This window comes from Homo sapiens, chromosome 6, assembly GCF_000001405.40.
Source record: "Homo sapiens chromosome 6, GRCh38.p14 Primary Assembly".
NCBI classification, from domain to species: Eukaryota; Metazoa; Chordata; class Mammalia; order Primates; family Hominidae; genus Homo; species Homo sapiens.
In genome coordinates this window covers 3731664-3746350 of record NC_000006.12, presented here as the reverse complement: position 1 = coordinate 3746350, position 14687 = coordinate 3731664, and the positions used below count along the sequence as shown (strand labels likewise).

Below are 14687 nucleotides of genomic sequence, written 5' to 3'. Positions count from 1 at the left end.
CAAGCCCAAACCCCGCCGCCCACTCTGCTTCCCCCATCCTGCTGTACCTGGGATCCTCTTCCTTTTCCATAAATGGCCACTGAGCTGCGTTTGGTTTGCTGCCCCCCCGACAGATCTCAGACTGAGCCCCTGGGCCCCAGGCGACACCTGAGCTCACTTCCCAGCTGGAGACTGGACACTTCCACAGACAGACCTGCTTCCAGGGCTACTGCCTTTCACGGTGGCAGTTGGCACTGAAAAGCTGCAGCTTTCTCACAGAACAGGCCAGGGACTCAGCTCAGGAGCACCTTGATCTGAGCTCCCTGCTTGGTGGCGAGAGGAGCTGAACGCACACCATATGTGGTGACATTCTTCTGCAGACAGACACCTCTAGCTGTGCCCCCTCTTGCCCCATCCCACAGGAAATGGGGACATCAGACAGACCACGTAACTCTTTTGCCAACTTACACCTGCAAGGGTTTCTTCCCATTGTTAAGAAACCTTGCTGATGTTTAACCTAGACTCAGCAGAAAACACATGGTGGACAGCGGGTGCAGAGGGGGAGGGAAGAGCTTGCAGTTCATACTTTGATAGGTGGCAGCTGTCAGTCTCATCATAGAAGATCAAGGCCTTGCCAGATTGCTGGATCACCCACCTGGGACACAGCTGGGTCATGGTAGGAGGGGTCAGCTTGGGGGTCAACCACCTGGGACACAGCTCAGTTACAGTGAGAGGGGTCAGGCTCAGGGATCTCCCCACCTGGGAACACAGTCAGGCCTTAATAGGAGGGGTCAGGCTCAGGCTGAAAGCACTGGCTTTGGACCCAGACAGGTGGGGTTAGGGGATTGGATGCTGGCTTTGCCACCTGCATGTCATTCCAGGCAAGTTCCTCAAGCCTCGGGTGCACTGTTGATGCTATAGCAGTAATAATATCCGCACGCAGGGCCGTTGTGAGTACCGAAAGCAGTGGTATCCGTAGAGTGCCCAGCACCAAGCTGGGCATATACGGGCTGCTGGCTTTGGGACCATTTGCTCTTTGCCCTGGCACTTGCCACGTGCCCTTGATGACAGTGGTCTGCGGGAGAGTGCTGGAGGCTGGCTCCTGAGAGCAGCGAGCCGCTTGGCAGGACTGGCCCACTCATGTGCCCGCCCTCTTCTGGGTGTGGCCCCCCCATATACCCTGGGAGAATACCCCTGCCCTGGCTAAAGAGGGAGCCCACAAAGAGGGAGGTCACCACCGAACTTCAGTGGGATCCCTACGGACTAGGCCTGTGGCCTTGCTCGTCCAGAAACTAGAATTGGTGCTGGGTGTGGGCCAGGTTTGGGTTACCTAAGAAAGATCCTAAGATCTAGGCCTGATCCTAAGAAAGAATGGCTGCCGCGGTGGCTCACGCCTGTAAGCCCAGCACTTTGGGAGGCCGAGGCAGGTGGATCCCTTGAGGTCAGGAATTTGAGACCAGCCTGGCCGACGTGGTGAAACCCCGTCTCTACTAAAGATAGAAAAATTAGCCGAGCCTGGTAGCGCGCATGCCTGTAGTCCCAGCTGCTCGGGAGGCTAAGGCAGGAGAATCACTTGAACCCTGGAAGCGGAGCTTGCAGTGAGCTGAGATTGCACCACTGCCCTCCAGCCTGGGTGACAAGAGCGAGACTTCGTCTCAAATAAATAAATAAATAAAAACAAGAATTGCCAAGTGCACAGAGTTCTTGTAGCCAGAACCTCCGTGGGAAGCCGTTGCCTCCTTGTCCCTCATGGGCAAGGCCCTTTCCCGGGATTTGTGAGACCACGCTTGTCCTTTTCTGGTCTCAGCTCTCCCCACCCCTGCCCTCCACCTTCCCCATCTCACTCCCTCTTTCCCCAACCCCTTTCACCCTTATATCCGCTCACCCTTCAGGCCGCCTCCTGCCCGGGAGTGTGGGGGGGATCCCCTGCTGTGCATCCTCCTGGCACCTGGATTTGCCAGGCAGGGGACAGTCTGTGGTCTGTGTTTGCCTCCTGTTGGCCCTCCTGGCTAGCATGACGTGCCAGGAGGCCGGGATCCCATCTTGTTGGCCGTGGTATCCCCAGCCTGGTGGAGGAGGAGCCATGGGTGCTTTGGGAAGAGCGACTGAAGTGCTTCCTTCCTGCCTGAGTGGGCTGCTCCCCCTGGGAACCTGTGATGCTGCAGGACGGACTGGCTAAGTGGATGGCTGTTGGAGAATGTTGAGTCTAAAATTTAGGAAGAGGATTTGGCTTTTAGTGGGGAAAATAATGAAAAAGCCTAGAGAAGGCAGGATTACGGGAAGAGCAGAGCAGAGCTCAGTAAGTTTAAGTCAAACATTTCTTTCCCAGTCGCTCTAGGAGCCACCTCCCAGGTACAGAAGGCAGCCACTGCTGCAGAGGGAGGAAGAGAGACTTCCCTCAGCCCCCAGCTTGGGTCCTCCGGGTGTTCTGTTTTTCCTCAGCCACTTCCATCTCTTCCTCTTGCATTCTCAGCTCAGCTTTTCACTCCTGAAAAGATGTAGAGGAGAGGTGGCTGTGGACCAGCCGCTGGGCGCCCCTGATGCATTGCAGCGTGGAGGTGTGGGGGAGGCCTTCTGTCCTGGTGTCCACACAGCCGCAATCTCGCTCTCCTTGTACAGTTATACTGCGTGACACTCCACAGGTGGAAACGTGTCAGTCTCGGATAGCGAAGAGCAGCCTCAGGTTCCCAGGGAGTTAGAACTTCCCTGGGTTGCTTAGTTATGCATTGAATAACCAGCTAGTCAGTTCTTAACTCGCTGCTGCTTCAGCATTGACTGCCTATTTAGAAAACAGGTACTTAGGAAGTTTTAAAGGCTTTCCTAAAACATTTTAGATATTTAGTTTCCAAGATGTGTATTATAGTCAACCTTTAAAGAATGTGTGTCTCCCGTGCAGCATACAAGATGAGGCTGCGTTCCCCCCTTCACCTCTGCATCTGTGTAGTGTGCTGATGGGCACATTTGTTAAATGGAAAGGAAACAATATAAATGTAATTTATGGTTTGACTCAGTTTGTTAAAGCTCACTTTGCAGAGCATTTCCCCGGGGCCGACTGTTGTGTGCGTGTGGGAACCGCGTCCTCTGAGTGCTCAGAGAGGCCTGTTCTTTGGGTAGTGGACGCTCTTTAACGTGTGACCTCCCAGCGCACCCGAGCCAGCATCCTGCCTTTAGTTTCAGAATTGCAGCAGCAGGAAGCCCTCCCGCTAGAGTCAGATGGCCAAGGTCCTCCCTGGAGGAAGCTGGGCCAGTTACCGCAAGTGTTGAGCCCAAAGCCTCCAATTCCCAAAAAAGTGGGACTCTGGACCCAGGTTTCTGAGATCCGGAAGCGGTGTTTGTTAACGTTGGCTCTCACTGTCAGATTTTTGTACTGCCTCCAGCGCGTTCAGTTCTGATTCCAAGAACAAATCAGGTGTTTGTGTTTGCAGAAAGCAGCTAATCCCCAAATTGACAGATACAACGCTGTGTTTTCAGCTTTCGAGACCTAACTCCTTTAGGAAGAAAAGTGACGCTGGCAGCCCCCTGTTGATACTCAGTCCCCAAATGTGTGTCCAGTTGGCCCACCGGAATTTATGTACAATTGTGTTACCAATTTTTTGGTTTCAAATTCTTAATTGTTTGGCTACATCTGGATGAAATTCTCATGTCACAAATTGTGTAGGATGAAATTTTTAAAGTTGAGGTTGTATTAGTGATTATTTATCAGAAATTAGAACAGTTTCCGGGGCTGTGAACTCTGAGGCTAACTTCCTTAAGCGTGCGTTGCAGTGAACGCCATCCTGCTTTTTCCGCAGAGTGCGCGCGCCCCCTGCTGGTCAGTCCTGAAAGACCCGAGCGAAGCGGCTCTGCTTCCGTTTTCAGGTTCGCTTGGCAGAATAGGCAACCCTCTTCACCTGCCTGCGGTATTCATCCGTGCGATCTCAGGCAGTGAAACCAAGTCGGACAGGAACCCCCAGAATTGTCATGCCATCAACAATATTTGGAATATAAAAACCAAAAGTTTTAGATGATCTAAAATTACTGTATTTAAGTGCAGTTTTGAAAACAAGTTTTCAAATCGTTGCTTATGGTAAACAGGTGACAACATTTGGAAAGAATCCACTAGCCATTTGGAAGCCAAAGCACTTGAGTCACAAAGGAGGAGTACAACAGGTAGGATAGAAAGAAACGCAGATGCACTCAATAGTTTGCTTTGGGGGAAGCAGTATTTCTTAAACTCATAGTTCTTGTCTGTTCCTGGAAAATAAAGCAGTGTCTTCAGCGTGGATTCTGCTCAGAACTTTTTCTTTATAAATTTGAGTATTTGTAATTTGGCATGCTGGCAGCAGGAGCTTGAGGTTTCCAGCTGTGAAACTGAGAAACCTTAGTGAATATAAAACAATCAGAAATTGCAAGATGAAGATTTCTTTTATTTCTGCACTGTGGTCCCAGTGGACAGTTGTACAGTTTTTTTTTAAAAAGTGTTTTCCTTCCACATTAAATACACCCATCCGTTTGGTGTATTTGAAACATTTTAAAAACAATTGAAGGGGAGTAGGGAAATGGGAGCGTTGGCATTTTAGGAAGGCCAGGCTGTCTGTAGTCTCTTGCCAGTGTCACTTCTTGAGTGGGGGCGGGGAGGCGTTTGCTGCTCAAGGCAGCCCCGCGCTGCGTTCTTGTCGCCGTGCTCTGGAGCTCTGGTGGTAGCAGCTGGAGCAACAGCAGCCCAGTTGTGCTGCTGTCAGTCAGGTGGGTTTCAGTAAGTTCAGCAGAATTCATCACTTCATGAATCAGCTGCGGCCCCTCCTGGGGAAGGGATCAGCGCTCGTTGTCATTCAGGTGAACTGTCTCCGTGGAGAAAGGACCACAGTGTCCTGAGAAAGCTGATCCAGATTGCCAGCTTGGTTGCCACCGGGAGCCGGAATGGGGAATTCAATAATGGACGTGCCCTTAACTAAAATCCTAGAGCTTAAAAAATAAGCACCGTCATTTCTGTGCTTCCAGGCAGGGATTCCAGCTCTTCACTTTCCCCATCTAAATTTTCTCAGGCTCCTTTTGTTTGGTTGTTAAGGATGTTTACACACCCAAGGAACACAGTTTGGCTTCCATTCAGAAACATAAAAGCAGGTGAAAGGAAGCAATGTGGTTCTGCACATTTCCACAAATAAAATCAAACCAGTGTGGCTCAGCAGTTTTAGTGCCACTTGGCCCTCGAGACTCTCCTTCGAGGCTGGTGACCGAAGAGCCTGCTGCTGGTCGGTTGTGTCTGGGGTCAGGCTGAGGTGATGACGAGAAGACCGAGACTGGGGTGCTGCCCAAGGGCAGCTGGTGCACACACAGGAGAGTGACTAACACCTGTCCACTTCTGTCTCATCTGATGCAAGTGTATTCTGCCAGCACAGCCAGCGAACATCGCATCCCTGGCATGGGCCAGGCACTGTGCTGGTTGCTGGTCACAGGGAGATGAGCCTAAGGTGCCTCCTGCCCTATGACTCTCACTAGTCTCTGGGGAGACCCCCAGGTGAAGGCACAGTCATTGCAGAGGAGCAAGAGGCTGTAGAGGGTGGGATGGGCTTTCCGAACCCACAGGCAGGAGCCAGTCCCATCATCACAGAGCAGGTGGCTTTTGCCTAAGTGGGCTTTGCCCCATCATGAGCCTGGAGGTGGAGGAGGCTGGAGGACAGCTCACCTGGAGGCTGTTGGGAAGCGAGGGCCTGTTTCTCGGGGTTGGCTTGAGGGTGTGTTTCACAGGGCACAGAGCTGGTGAGGTAGGTGGGCTAGGAGCAGGTCATGAAGAGTCTGCACGCCCAACTAAAATCCTAACACGGTTTCCAGAGGCCTGACCAGGTACACTTGCCTTTCTGTAGTTCAGTCTGGAAGATGGGTCACAAAGAAGATAGCGTAGGCAGATAAAATACCGGACCCAAAGTTAAGTTTGAATGTCAAACAGCAAATATGTTTTTAGTGTAAGTCTGTCCCTGCTATTGCATTATCCATTGTTTATCTGAAATTCGTATTTAATTAGGCATCACGTGTCTTATTTGCCAAGTTTGGCCATACTAAAAGGAGATCAGTGTACCGCAGAATATATTTATCTCCCTAATGTGACCCTTGGAGGTTATCAACCCAACCAAGAGCTGCACATTAATTAAATCAAAGATGTAGCCAAAGATATGTCAGCAAAGCAAAGATAAAAGCATTATAAACCTCTATAATACCTGTAAATTGTTAGGTCACGCTTTCTGTCCTATGAAATGGGTATACATGTGCTGGATACATTGACTTTGCAAGAAGCCGATCTTGTAAACTGAGTACAACTAGTATGTCATTCATTTGATCAACTGGAAGCTAGTATTCTAGCTGTAATGAAAGTTGAAATATAACAGTAGTTTTGCTTGTCTTAGAATAAAGAAGCACTTTGTGGGAATGAGTTATATAATTGTCTTCTCTTTAAAAACAACTTTTTAAGAATTTTGAATTGGCTCCCCTTTCCTTGGTAGACTTCCCTGAGCAAGCAGGGGATCAAAGCATTTTGGTTGAAAGAGTGGTGCATATATACATCTTGTAGTATATAAATATTTGAAATTCTATGTAAATTGCGGTATATAAATATTTGAAATTCTATGCAAGGAATTCAGGGCTTGGGAGGAGGCATCCGGAGAGTCTGGTACTTTTGTTGTTTTCTCGTTTTCTTCCTTCTCCACCCTGCTTGCCCCGGCGTGTGGGGAGGTGGGCCGAGGCTGGAGAACACGGCAGAGGGTCGTCCAGCCCCTTCCTCTGGTGACGGCCAGGGCATCGTGCTTGGGCGTAGGCACAGGCCACGTGGACAGAGGCCCCAGGGTTTTCCAGTGGCTGAGTCACAGACCACGGACCCTGCCCCTCTTGGACCCTTGTGCCCTGCACAGCTGGCCGCCTGGGCCTGTGTGGCTGAGGTCAGTGGAGGGGGCAGGATCAGATAGCCCCACTGCTAAGCAGGGATGCCTGCTGGGATACCAGGTGAGCCAGCTGAATGGGCACCTGGCACGTGCTTGAGGAAGTGGGGAGAAGGTTCTTGGCCTCCACTGATCCCCACTGACCCCCGTTATGGGGATGCCCCTGCGGTAGCCCACTCTTGCAGAAGTGCCTTTGACCTATGTCTGGGGAGCCCTGGTGGGAGTTTTCATGGACTGTATGCTCTGGGACCTCTTAATTTCAGTCAGGAAGTTTAAGAAATCTTTTTTTATCTCTCTTATAGACCTATTCAACGAATTGCTTGAAAACTGAACAGGCTTTTCCCCTGCAAAACAAAATCAGACCAGAACTTCTGAAAAAGTTAGTCTCCGTGACCAATAATACTAGGTTGGTGCAAAAGTAATCGCAGTAATCACGGTTTTTGCCATTAATAGTTCTGGCACTTAAGCCTTTGTGGTTTAATCACCGCTCACAGGCACGTTTGCATCAGCCTCGGTCACACAAGTGTGGGGGAGACGCCAGTGTCCTTGGGCACCTACTTCCCCATCCCTGCAAAGCCGACGGATAGAACCTGTGATGGGAAGACTTCTGCTCTGCGCTTCTCATGGGGAGATAGAAAAGCACCCGAGCCTTCATGCCTCGAGCTATGGTATTTTAAAAATAAAATATTATGCTGCCTGACAGCCACTCGGGTGTGTGGTGACCGTGAGAAGCACAGAGGCCCAGATTCCTGGAAAGTGGCATGAGTCGTGTCCACTTTGGTTTTGTCCAGGCAGAGATCTGACTTTTTTCCTTGTGAACTTGGCATGTAAATGACTGGTCTAAACAGAGGCTCCATTTCCAGGGGTCTGCGATCTGAGCAGCCGTGGCCAGCAGAGTGAGTCCTTCCCTGTGTCACTGGGGGTGGGCTGGTCCTGGGCCAGCACCCCTGACTGTAGCCACCACGCTGGTGGGGCCTGATTCGCCCTGGGCTGAGCTCTGGCTGTGACCAGGGTGATTATGGAGTTTGCCAGGCTGCCCCACTTGGAGGGATCTTACACCTCCCATCCCCTTTTCAGATTGACAGTACCAACTCCTGCACAGACTTTATGGATCACTGGGTAGGTGAAACATGGAATGAGGCTTAGAGCAGGACTTCCAGAAAGCGGCTATAGGTGCATAAGGCTGAATGAATGTTCCCGACATCTCATTACAGATGACGACCCTGGCGGTTTGTGGGCACCTGTTGTGTATTGCATTGGGAGCGCGTTTCCTGGTGTGCTATTCTGACTTTGAGCATTTCTGTCTCAATTCTAGGACTGGTTGCCATAAAGGAAGCCCACGACATAGAGACCAGGCTTAATGAGGTGGAGAAGCTGCTGAAGACGATCATAAGCATGCCCTGTAAAGTGAGTGTGGCCAGGCCCCGGGCTGGGCAGGGAGGTGGGAGGTGCTGGCACCTCCCAAATGCGAAAGGCGTCCATCCCCCCGGAGGGTTGACTTGCTTGCTCTGTCTCACTTAGCCGTTTTGTTCCCTCCCTGGTAGTACCAGGCGATAGGGACGGAGTGGAGGTGTGCAGGTGTAATCAGGAGAAAGAAGGCTTTCATGGGCTCCAGTGGCCCCGGTTTTTCCTCCCTGGGGAAAGAGTGAAAATGAGGGATGCAAGGAGGCATGGGTGGAAGGGTGCGGATCCCCTCTGGCTGCAGGAGGCCTTTGCTTTCTGCCTCTGCTCAGAATCCACCGTCTTGCTGAGGGGATTTTAGAACAGACACGTGGAAACCAAGAAGAACGTTGGCGTCAGCACAGCGGGGCACGTTGCCCGGATTTGACCGTCAACTCCCTTTCCATGTAAGCCTGCGGGCTTCGTCGTGAGTGGTGGTTAAGAACCTGGACTTGAGCGCCAGGCAGACCTCCTTAGCTCCTGGAAGCTTCCCTTTCTTTCTGGCCAGTGGGGAGAGTGGACACAGCCTACAGTTGACTATAGAGGGAGGGAGGCGCAAGTGAAACTGGCACATCAGAGCCATGATTCCCTCCACTGCCCAGGTCGCTGAGGCCTTGCCTTTCAGCCGCCTGGGCCATGAGCATGTGAGGGCTGTGCAGTGATGGCAGCCCCGCCCCTGCGGCCAGCCATGGGAGCATCTGGACATTCATGGGGCGTTTGCATCACACAGGCTGCCTCTGCGGAGGAGCGGGGCCCTCTCTTGGTAGACAGACAGGGCCAACGTGTAGAGGCTGATCGTTTTTAGTAATCCCTGCATTTCTCCCCAGTATTCTAGATCGGAAGTTGTGCTCACCTTCTTCGAAAGATCTCCTCTGGATCAGGTGTTAAAAAATGATAATGTGCATAAAATTCAACCCAGCTTTCAAAGTCCAGTCAAAATATCAGGTAAGAGCCACAAAGGAGGCGTTGGTGGGAGGGACTGCTGTTGAGGCTGAGATGTCACAGAAACCCTCACAGTTGGCTGTCTCTGAGGCTGGGCCACACTTTTCCAGAAAGACAATCGAGAGAAATGCGAATGTACAGGGAGAGACTGTTGCCTGATTCTCCCAAGCAGTGTTTCCTCCTGTGGTTTTCACTCCTGCTGCGTCCTCAGGGGTTTGTTTGGCATGTAAATTGGAACTCACTTAAGAAATGGTATAACGATGAACAAACACATTGATGATAGAGTTTGAAGCAAACTATTGGAATCCACTGTTCAGCCTGCTGAAGTGAGACAGCCCATGTCACGTGGCATTGAATTTGGTTCTTGCTTTTAGGGGCAGCCATAACCAAAGGGACGCACAGGCTTTAGGTCTCCTTAGCGTGGATGTGGGACTGTGGCTCCTGGCACAGGAAGGAAGGAAGGGGAAGCTGGGGCCTCTTGGCCAGTCCAAGTTTGGTGACTTACTAAGATCTGGGTTGCAGGTGTCATGAGAACACTAGACTTGCTTTTTGCAGCACTATTTTGACAAAGGCTGATGAGGAGGATTTTGTAGGGAAAAGAGGTCTGTCCTGGGAGTCTCTAGGACTGGATTTTCCCAAGCAAGTGGCAATCACCTTGTGACATAAGAGGTGACAGTTGTGTGCGATCTTGCCTGGTGGACAGGGAGGGAAGGGGGGACTCATGAGAGGAGACATGGCTCAGCCAGAGGAGAGCACCTCCATGATGTTGCGATCTGTGGGAAGGAGAGCAGGGGGCCTGTGTCCATCATTCCGTTTCTGAATGGAGGAGGAAGCAGGGGAGAAGGAGGGATGGAGGACTCAGAAGGATGTCAAGGGAGAAGAGTGGATGAGAGGGGGTCTGAGCCCAGAGCTGACCCAGAAGGAATTGGGAGACCAGAGGACAGTGGGGATGGGTGACTGATGCTGTTGGCTGTGAACGTGGCCTTGCTGATTATGGGCCACAGCACAAGTGGGATTCTGAATTGTGTGCTTGGGAGAACTGGGTGGGGTGGGCAGGTTCTGGAACCTGGAGTGGAAGATGGGTTTGTAGATATTAATAGGATTGTGTGTGCGCAGGGTGGTGGCACACCTGACCCTGTCTGTGGCTGCTGCTTTGTTTTGTTTTTTACTTTTTTGTTTGTTTTTACTGACACATAATTATTGTACATATTTATGGGGTAAAGTGTGATGTTTTGATACATGTGTATATTGTGTAAAAATCAAATCAGAGTATTTAGCATTTCCATTATCTCAAACATTCATCTTTTCTTTGTGGTGAGAACATTCAAAATCCTCTCTTCCAGCTATTTTGAAATACACAAGGCAGTACTGTTAACCCTTGTCACCTTACTGTGCAGTAGTACAGCAGAGCTTATTCCTCCCACTGTCACTTCGTGCTCACTGACCAGCCTTTCCCTGTCCACCGCTGGCCCCTCCCCAGCCTCTGGTAACCACTGTTCTACTTGCTGCTTCTATGATCTCCCCTTCTCTAGGTTCCAAATATGGGTGAGATCTTGTGACATTTGTCTTTCTGTGCCTAGCTTATTTCACTTAACGTAATGCCTGCAGGCTCATTCATGTTGCCACAAATGACAGCATTTCATTCTTTTTAATGGCTGAATAGTATTCCGTTGTGCATATGTACCACATTTCCTTTACTCATTCATTGGTAGCTAGACACTTTGGTGGTTTCCGTTGTGTGTTCTTGGCACCTTTGTCAAAAATCAGTTGGCTGTAAGTATATCGATTTATTTCTGTGTTCTCTATTCTGTTCCATTGGTCTATGTGTCTTTTTATGCCAGTACCATGCTGTTTTGTTTACTGTAGCTCTGTCGTATATTTTGAAATTGTGTAGTGTGATGCCTCTGGCTTTGCTCAAGATTGCTTTGGCTATTTGGCATCTTTTTTGGTTCCATATACATTTTAGGATTGTTTTGCTCATTTTTGTTGTTGTTGTTTTGTTTGTTGGTTTTGTTTTGTTTTGAGACAGGGTCTCCCTCTGTTGCCCAGGCTGGAGTGCGGTGGTGCAGTTACAGCTCAAGTGATCCTCCTGCCTCAGCCTCCCAAGTAGCTGGGACTACAGGCGTATCCCATCATGCCAGGCTAGTTTTTGTATTTTTTGTAGAGATGAGGTTTTGCCATGTTTCCCAAGCTGGTCTGAAACTCCTGAGCTCAAGCAATCCATCTGCCTTAGCCTCCCAAAGTGCTGGGATTATAGGTATTAGCCACTGCGCCCGGCCTAGGATTGATTTTTTTTTCTATTCCTGTGAAGAATGTCATTTGTATTTTGATGGGGATTGCGATGAATTTGTAGATCACTTTGGGTGGTATGCTGCTTTTGATATCTCCCTAAGATACCTTCCTATGTGCCTTTAGACAAGAGCAGTGAGTACAGGAGCCCCTTTTTAGCTGGCACTGGGTCTCCAGAACCTTTATGGGAGAGTGAGGATGACTGGGTCCTTTTTCCTGGCTGGGTGTCTATGGATCCTCATCTCAGAGGGCTCACAGAGGGCTCTGGAGTCCTAATTGTCTATTGCTCTGGGTTTTGCATTTTGTAGTGCAGAGCATGGGGAAGCCTGGTTCTTTAGTCTGAGTGGGGAGAGTCCTAGCACCAGTGTCTCTGTTTTGGTTTGTTTTGCTCTGTTTGGGCAACCCAGAGATCAAGGAGCAGCAGAGTCCTCTTAGTGCCTTGCCTTATGGGAGGTGCTGGCCCCCGAGTGAGAGGGATAGATTAGAGGCCTGGAGCCACCTCTGATGGAGAAGCTCCTGAGGCACAGTGCCCGGCACATGCTTCAGCCTGCCCTGGCCTCCCGTCTCTATCAGCGATGTGTATGAACACATGGCCCACGTGGACCCTAAGGGGCGAGCATAGTGAGACGAAATTTAACAGGGAGAAACGTAGAGTCTCATGTTGCCATTGAAAGTATGTTTTCTTTGCCTTTTTGCAAGGGCTGAGGACAGGTTTCAGCCACGGCTGTCTGTGGCCTTCCGTGTGTGATGGGGGTGCAGTGTCCAGGTCTAGGAAGGCAGGGGTCCTGGCCTCCTTATGCAAGTCAAGACTGTCCCCGGGATGCAGCAAGATGAATTATTACATCCAGAGAAGAGTGTCTGGTGGGCAGGGGTCAGAAGAATGGGAGGAAATGTGGAAGAGCAGCTAGGAGGAAGGGGATGCCACCTTCAGATGTTGGCGGGCTGCCATGGGAAGGGGTCAGGTGGGGGCTGGCACTAGGCCTGTGGGTAGAAGTAACTGTGGGCGACTTTGGCTCAGCACAGAACACGTTCTAACATCTGGGGCTGCGTAACCATGGAGTCTGCACCAGCCAGTGGCTAACAGTCTCAGTGCAAAGTCTGGGGGCCCGGAGGTGTTGCTGCAGGAGGCGGCAGGCGGTATGGCCTCTTGCAGCCTTGCAGAGCCGAGGGTCTCAAGTGCTCTGAGTGTTTCCTCCTCTTCCTCTTCTCTGCCGGTCACCGAGTCTGGTTTTCTTTCTCTGAACCCCCCAGACCTTCCGATCTCTGTTCCCGGTCTAGCTCGCCCCTCACTGTGTCTAAGGGAGCTTCTTAATCTAGAGCAGTTGTGCCTGCCGGTGGCGAGGCGGTACACCCACGCACACCATGGCAGATACCTCCCTTCAGGAGTGTTTTTTAATGAAATTACTATTGACAATAAATAGCCCCAACATCCCTTTGAGAAAATGGCTCACACATAGGCACACCATGTTCTCAGTCTTGGTCCCATATTTGGCATGTTTCTGGATCTGTGGCTCCCCAGGCTGAGGCGCGGGGTCCAGAGAGTCCTGGCATCACCTGAGACTGTCCACACGGCTTTCTCTCATGCGTCCCCCTTTCTCCAGGATATGAACCCGAGGACTGAGCCAGTCATCCCAAAGCTCTGACCTCTGAGGCTTATTAACTGTCTTAAAAGCTCACTCTCACCATCAAGCCCAAGTTCTTGGTCATTCTGGGCATTCAGAGCCTAGCCCACGCTAGCCTTTTGATGTTGTCACCTCCACTCCAGAGCCTCAGCCTCCTGCAGGGGACTGGCCAGCCGTTGCATGGACTGTGGCCCTGCAGGGTCCTTCGTGCAAACCTGCCTGTCCACTGCTGTCCTGGTTAATTCCATTCATTCCCGGCCGAGAGCCCACATCCACCCTCCTCCTCCATTTCTTATGCCACTGACATACGTGTAGGGAGGTGGTGCCATGGGGAACAGGCACTGACTGTCTCTGCTCTCATGATGTAGGCTGGGGATGGGGACCTGCAGGTGCTGAGTACCTTGGCTTTTCTAGGATCGTTTAGTTGTCAGGAGCTCCACTAGATGGCGCCCGGCGCTAGCAGGCGCGGCGACTGTTTCCACATCCTGGGGCCACGGTGAGGACAGTCAGGATGGACTGCATCCCTTGGCAGTGCTTCCAACCAGTACAGCCTTAATCATTCTTTGTCCCAATGCTTATCAAATGTAAGAAAGCAAGAATTTAGAGCGTTCTGCCTCATGGCTGCAGCTGTGCAATGTAAAAGGAAATGCAAACCTCAGCTTCGATCTGGCAACTTGGACTCATCAATCTCAGCCACAAAATCTGACCATTCAGGTTTAAGAGGCCTGGAAATGAATCACAATTTTATTTTTCATTAATCTGGCTTCTGGCCAATCTCAACCTTAGTTTCACTATGTAGGGGTAGCCCAGCTAGCCAGTTAATACAAGGGCACTGCTTTGGGTTTTGTTCCGTTGCTGGAGTACATGGGAAATACAGTGGGAGAGAGGAGGTGAAAGGGAGGAAGGCTAGAGTATGAATGCTTTCACGGCTGAGACCGCGTGTCTGCTGAGAAAAGGAATAGAGTTATTGAAGTGAGGGGTTGTGACGTTTGTGGGGCTATGAAAACATAGCTGCATCTAAAAAACAGAAAAATTGCCATCAGGCAAACAGACACATTGGTAATTGTTGCAAAAAAGATCCATTGATTGATAGATGCAAAGATTTGTGAGTGAAACTGAGGAGAAACAGGATTTGCATAGCTGCAAGGCATCCTCCTTCAATTAACTACAAAGGGAAAGGTGGTAACTTCGCTGTGGAAACAGCTGGCAGAAGCCTCCTCACCAGGCACTCCACAGCAGCCTCAGCAGCAGCAGGACCTGTCAGCCTCAGCCCCACCCCCATATGCCACTCCAGGTCTCATGCAGCGTCACTGTGTAGGGTTCCTGCCAAAAATGCATCACCTCAATCGAATCACTCTGAAACTGCCAACAAACCCAAATCGAGGGACATTTGCTAAAATAGCTCAGTCCTCTCTAAGAGTGCTACGGTCATGAGGGACAAGGAACGATGGAGGAACTGTCAGAGGTCGCAGAAGACCAAGACAGAGCAACTCATTGCAGCAAGAGA

At 50.6% G+C, this 14687-nt stretch overlaps 1 protein-coding gene across 4 annotated transcripts in view, besides 2 other annotated features; it reads left to right on the top strand.

Moving 5' to 3' along the window:
* The window catches only part of PXDC1 (PX domain containing 1), a 29095-nt gene that overhangs the window by 5363 nt on the left and 9045 nt on the right, over positions 1–14687 (top strand). Inside the window, exons 1-4 of one of the 4 annotated variants that reach the window (XM_011514393.4) lie at positions 7190–7293; positions 7382–7555; positions 8203–8294; positions 9155–9272. In XM_011514393.4, the coding sequence (XP_011512695.1) occupies positions 7483–7555; positions 8203–8294; positions 9155–9272 (283 nt within the window). In that variant the 5' untranslated portion in view covers positions 7190–7293; positions 7382–7482. Of the gene's footprint in view, positions 1–7189; positions 7556–8202; positions 8295–8620; positions 8735–9154; positions 9273–14687 lie in introns of those variants that run through there. The other 3 variants (XR_007059222.1, XM_047418376.1, NM_183373.4) reach the window with 3 other exon arrangements.
* Positions 8247–8873: an enhancer, noted in NCBI's record as "H3K4me1 hESC enhancer chr6:3737712-3738338 (GRCh37/hg19 assembly coordinates)". NCBI's record gives its function as "activates a minimal SCP1, AML or CMV promoter by ChIP-STARR-seq in naive H9 embryonic stem cells {active_cell/tissue: H9 hESC(naive)}" and the evidence as "EXISTENCE:reporter gene assay evidence [ECO:0000049][PMID:30033119]".
* Positions 13702–13996: a silencer, noted in NCBI's record as "tiled region #15708; K562 Repressive non-DNase unmatched - State 13:Ctcf". NCBI's record gives its function as "represses a minimal TATA promoter and a strong SV40 promoter by Sharpr-MPRA in K562 cells {active_cell/tissue: K562}" and the evidence as "EXISTENCE:reporter gene assay evidence [ECO:0000049][PMID:27701403]".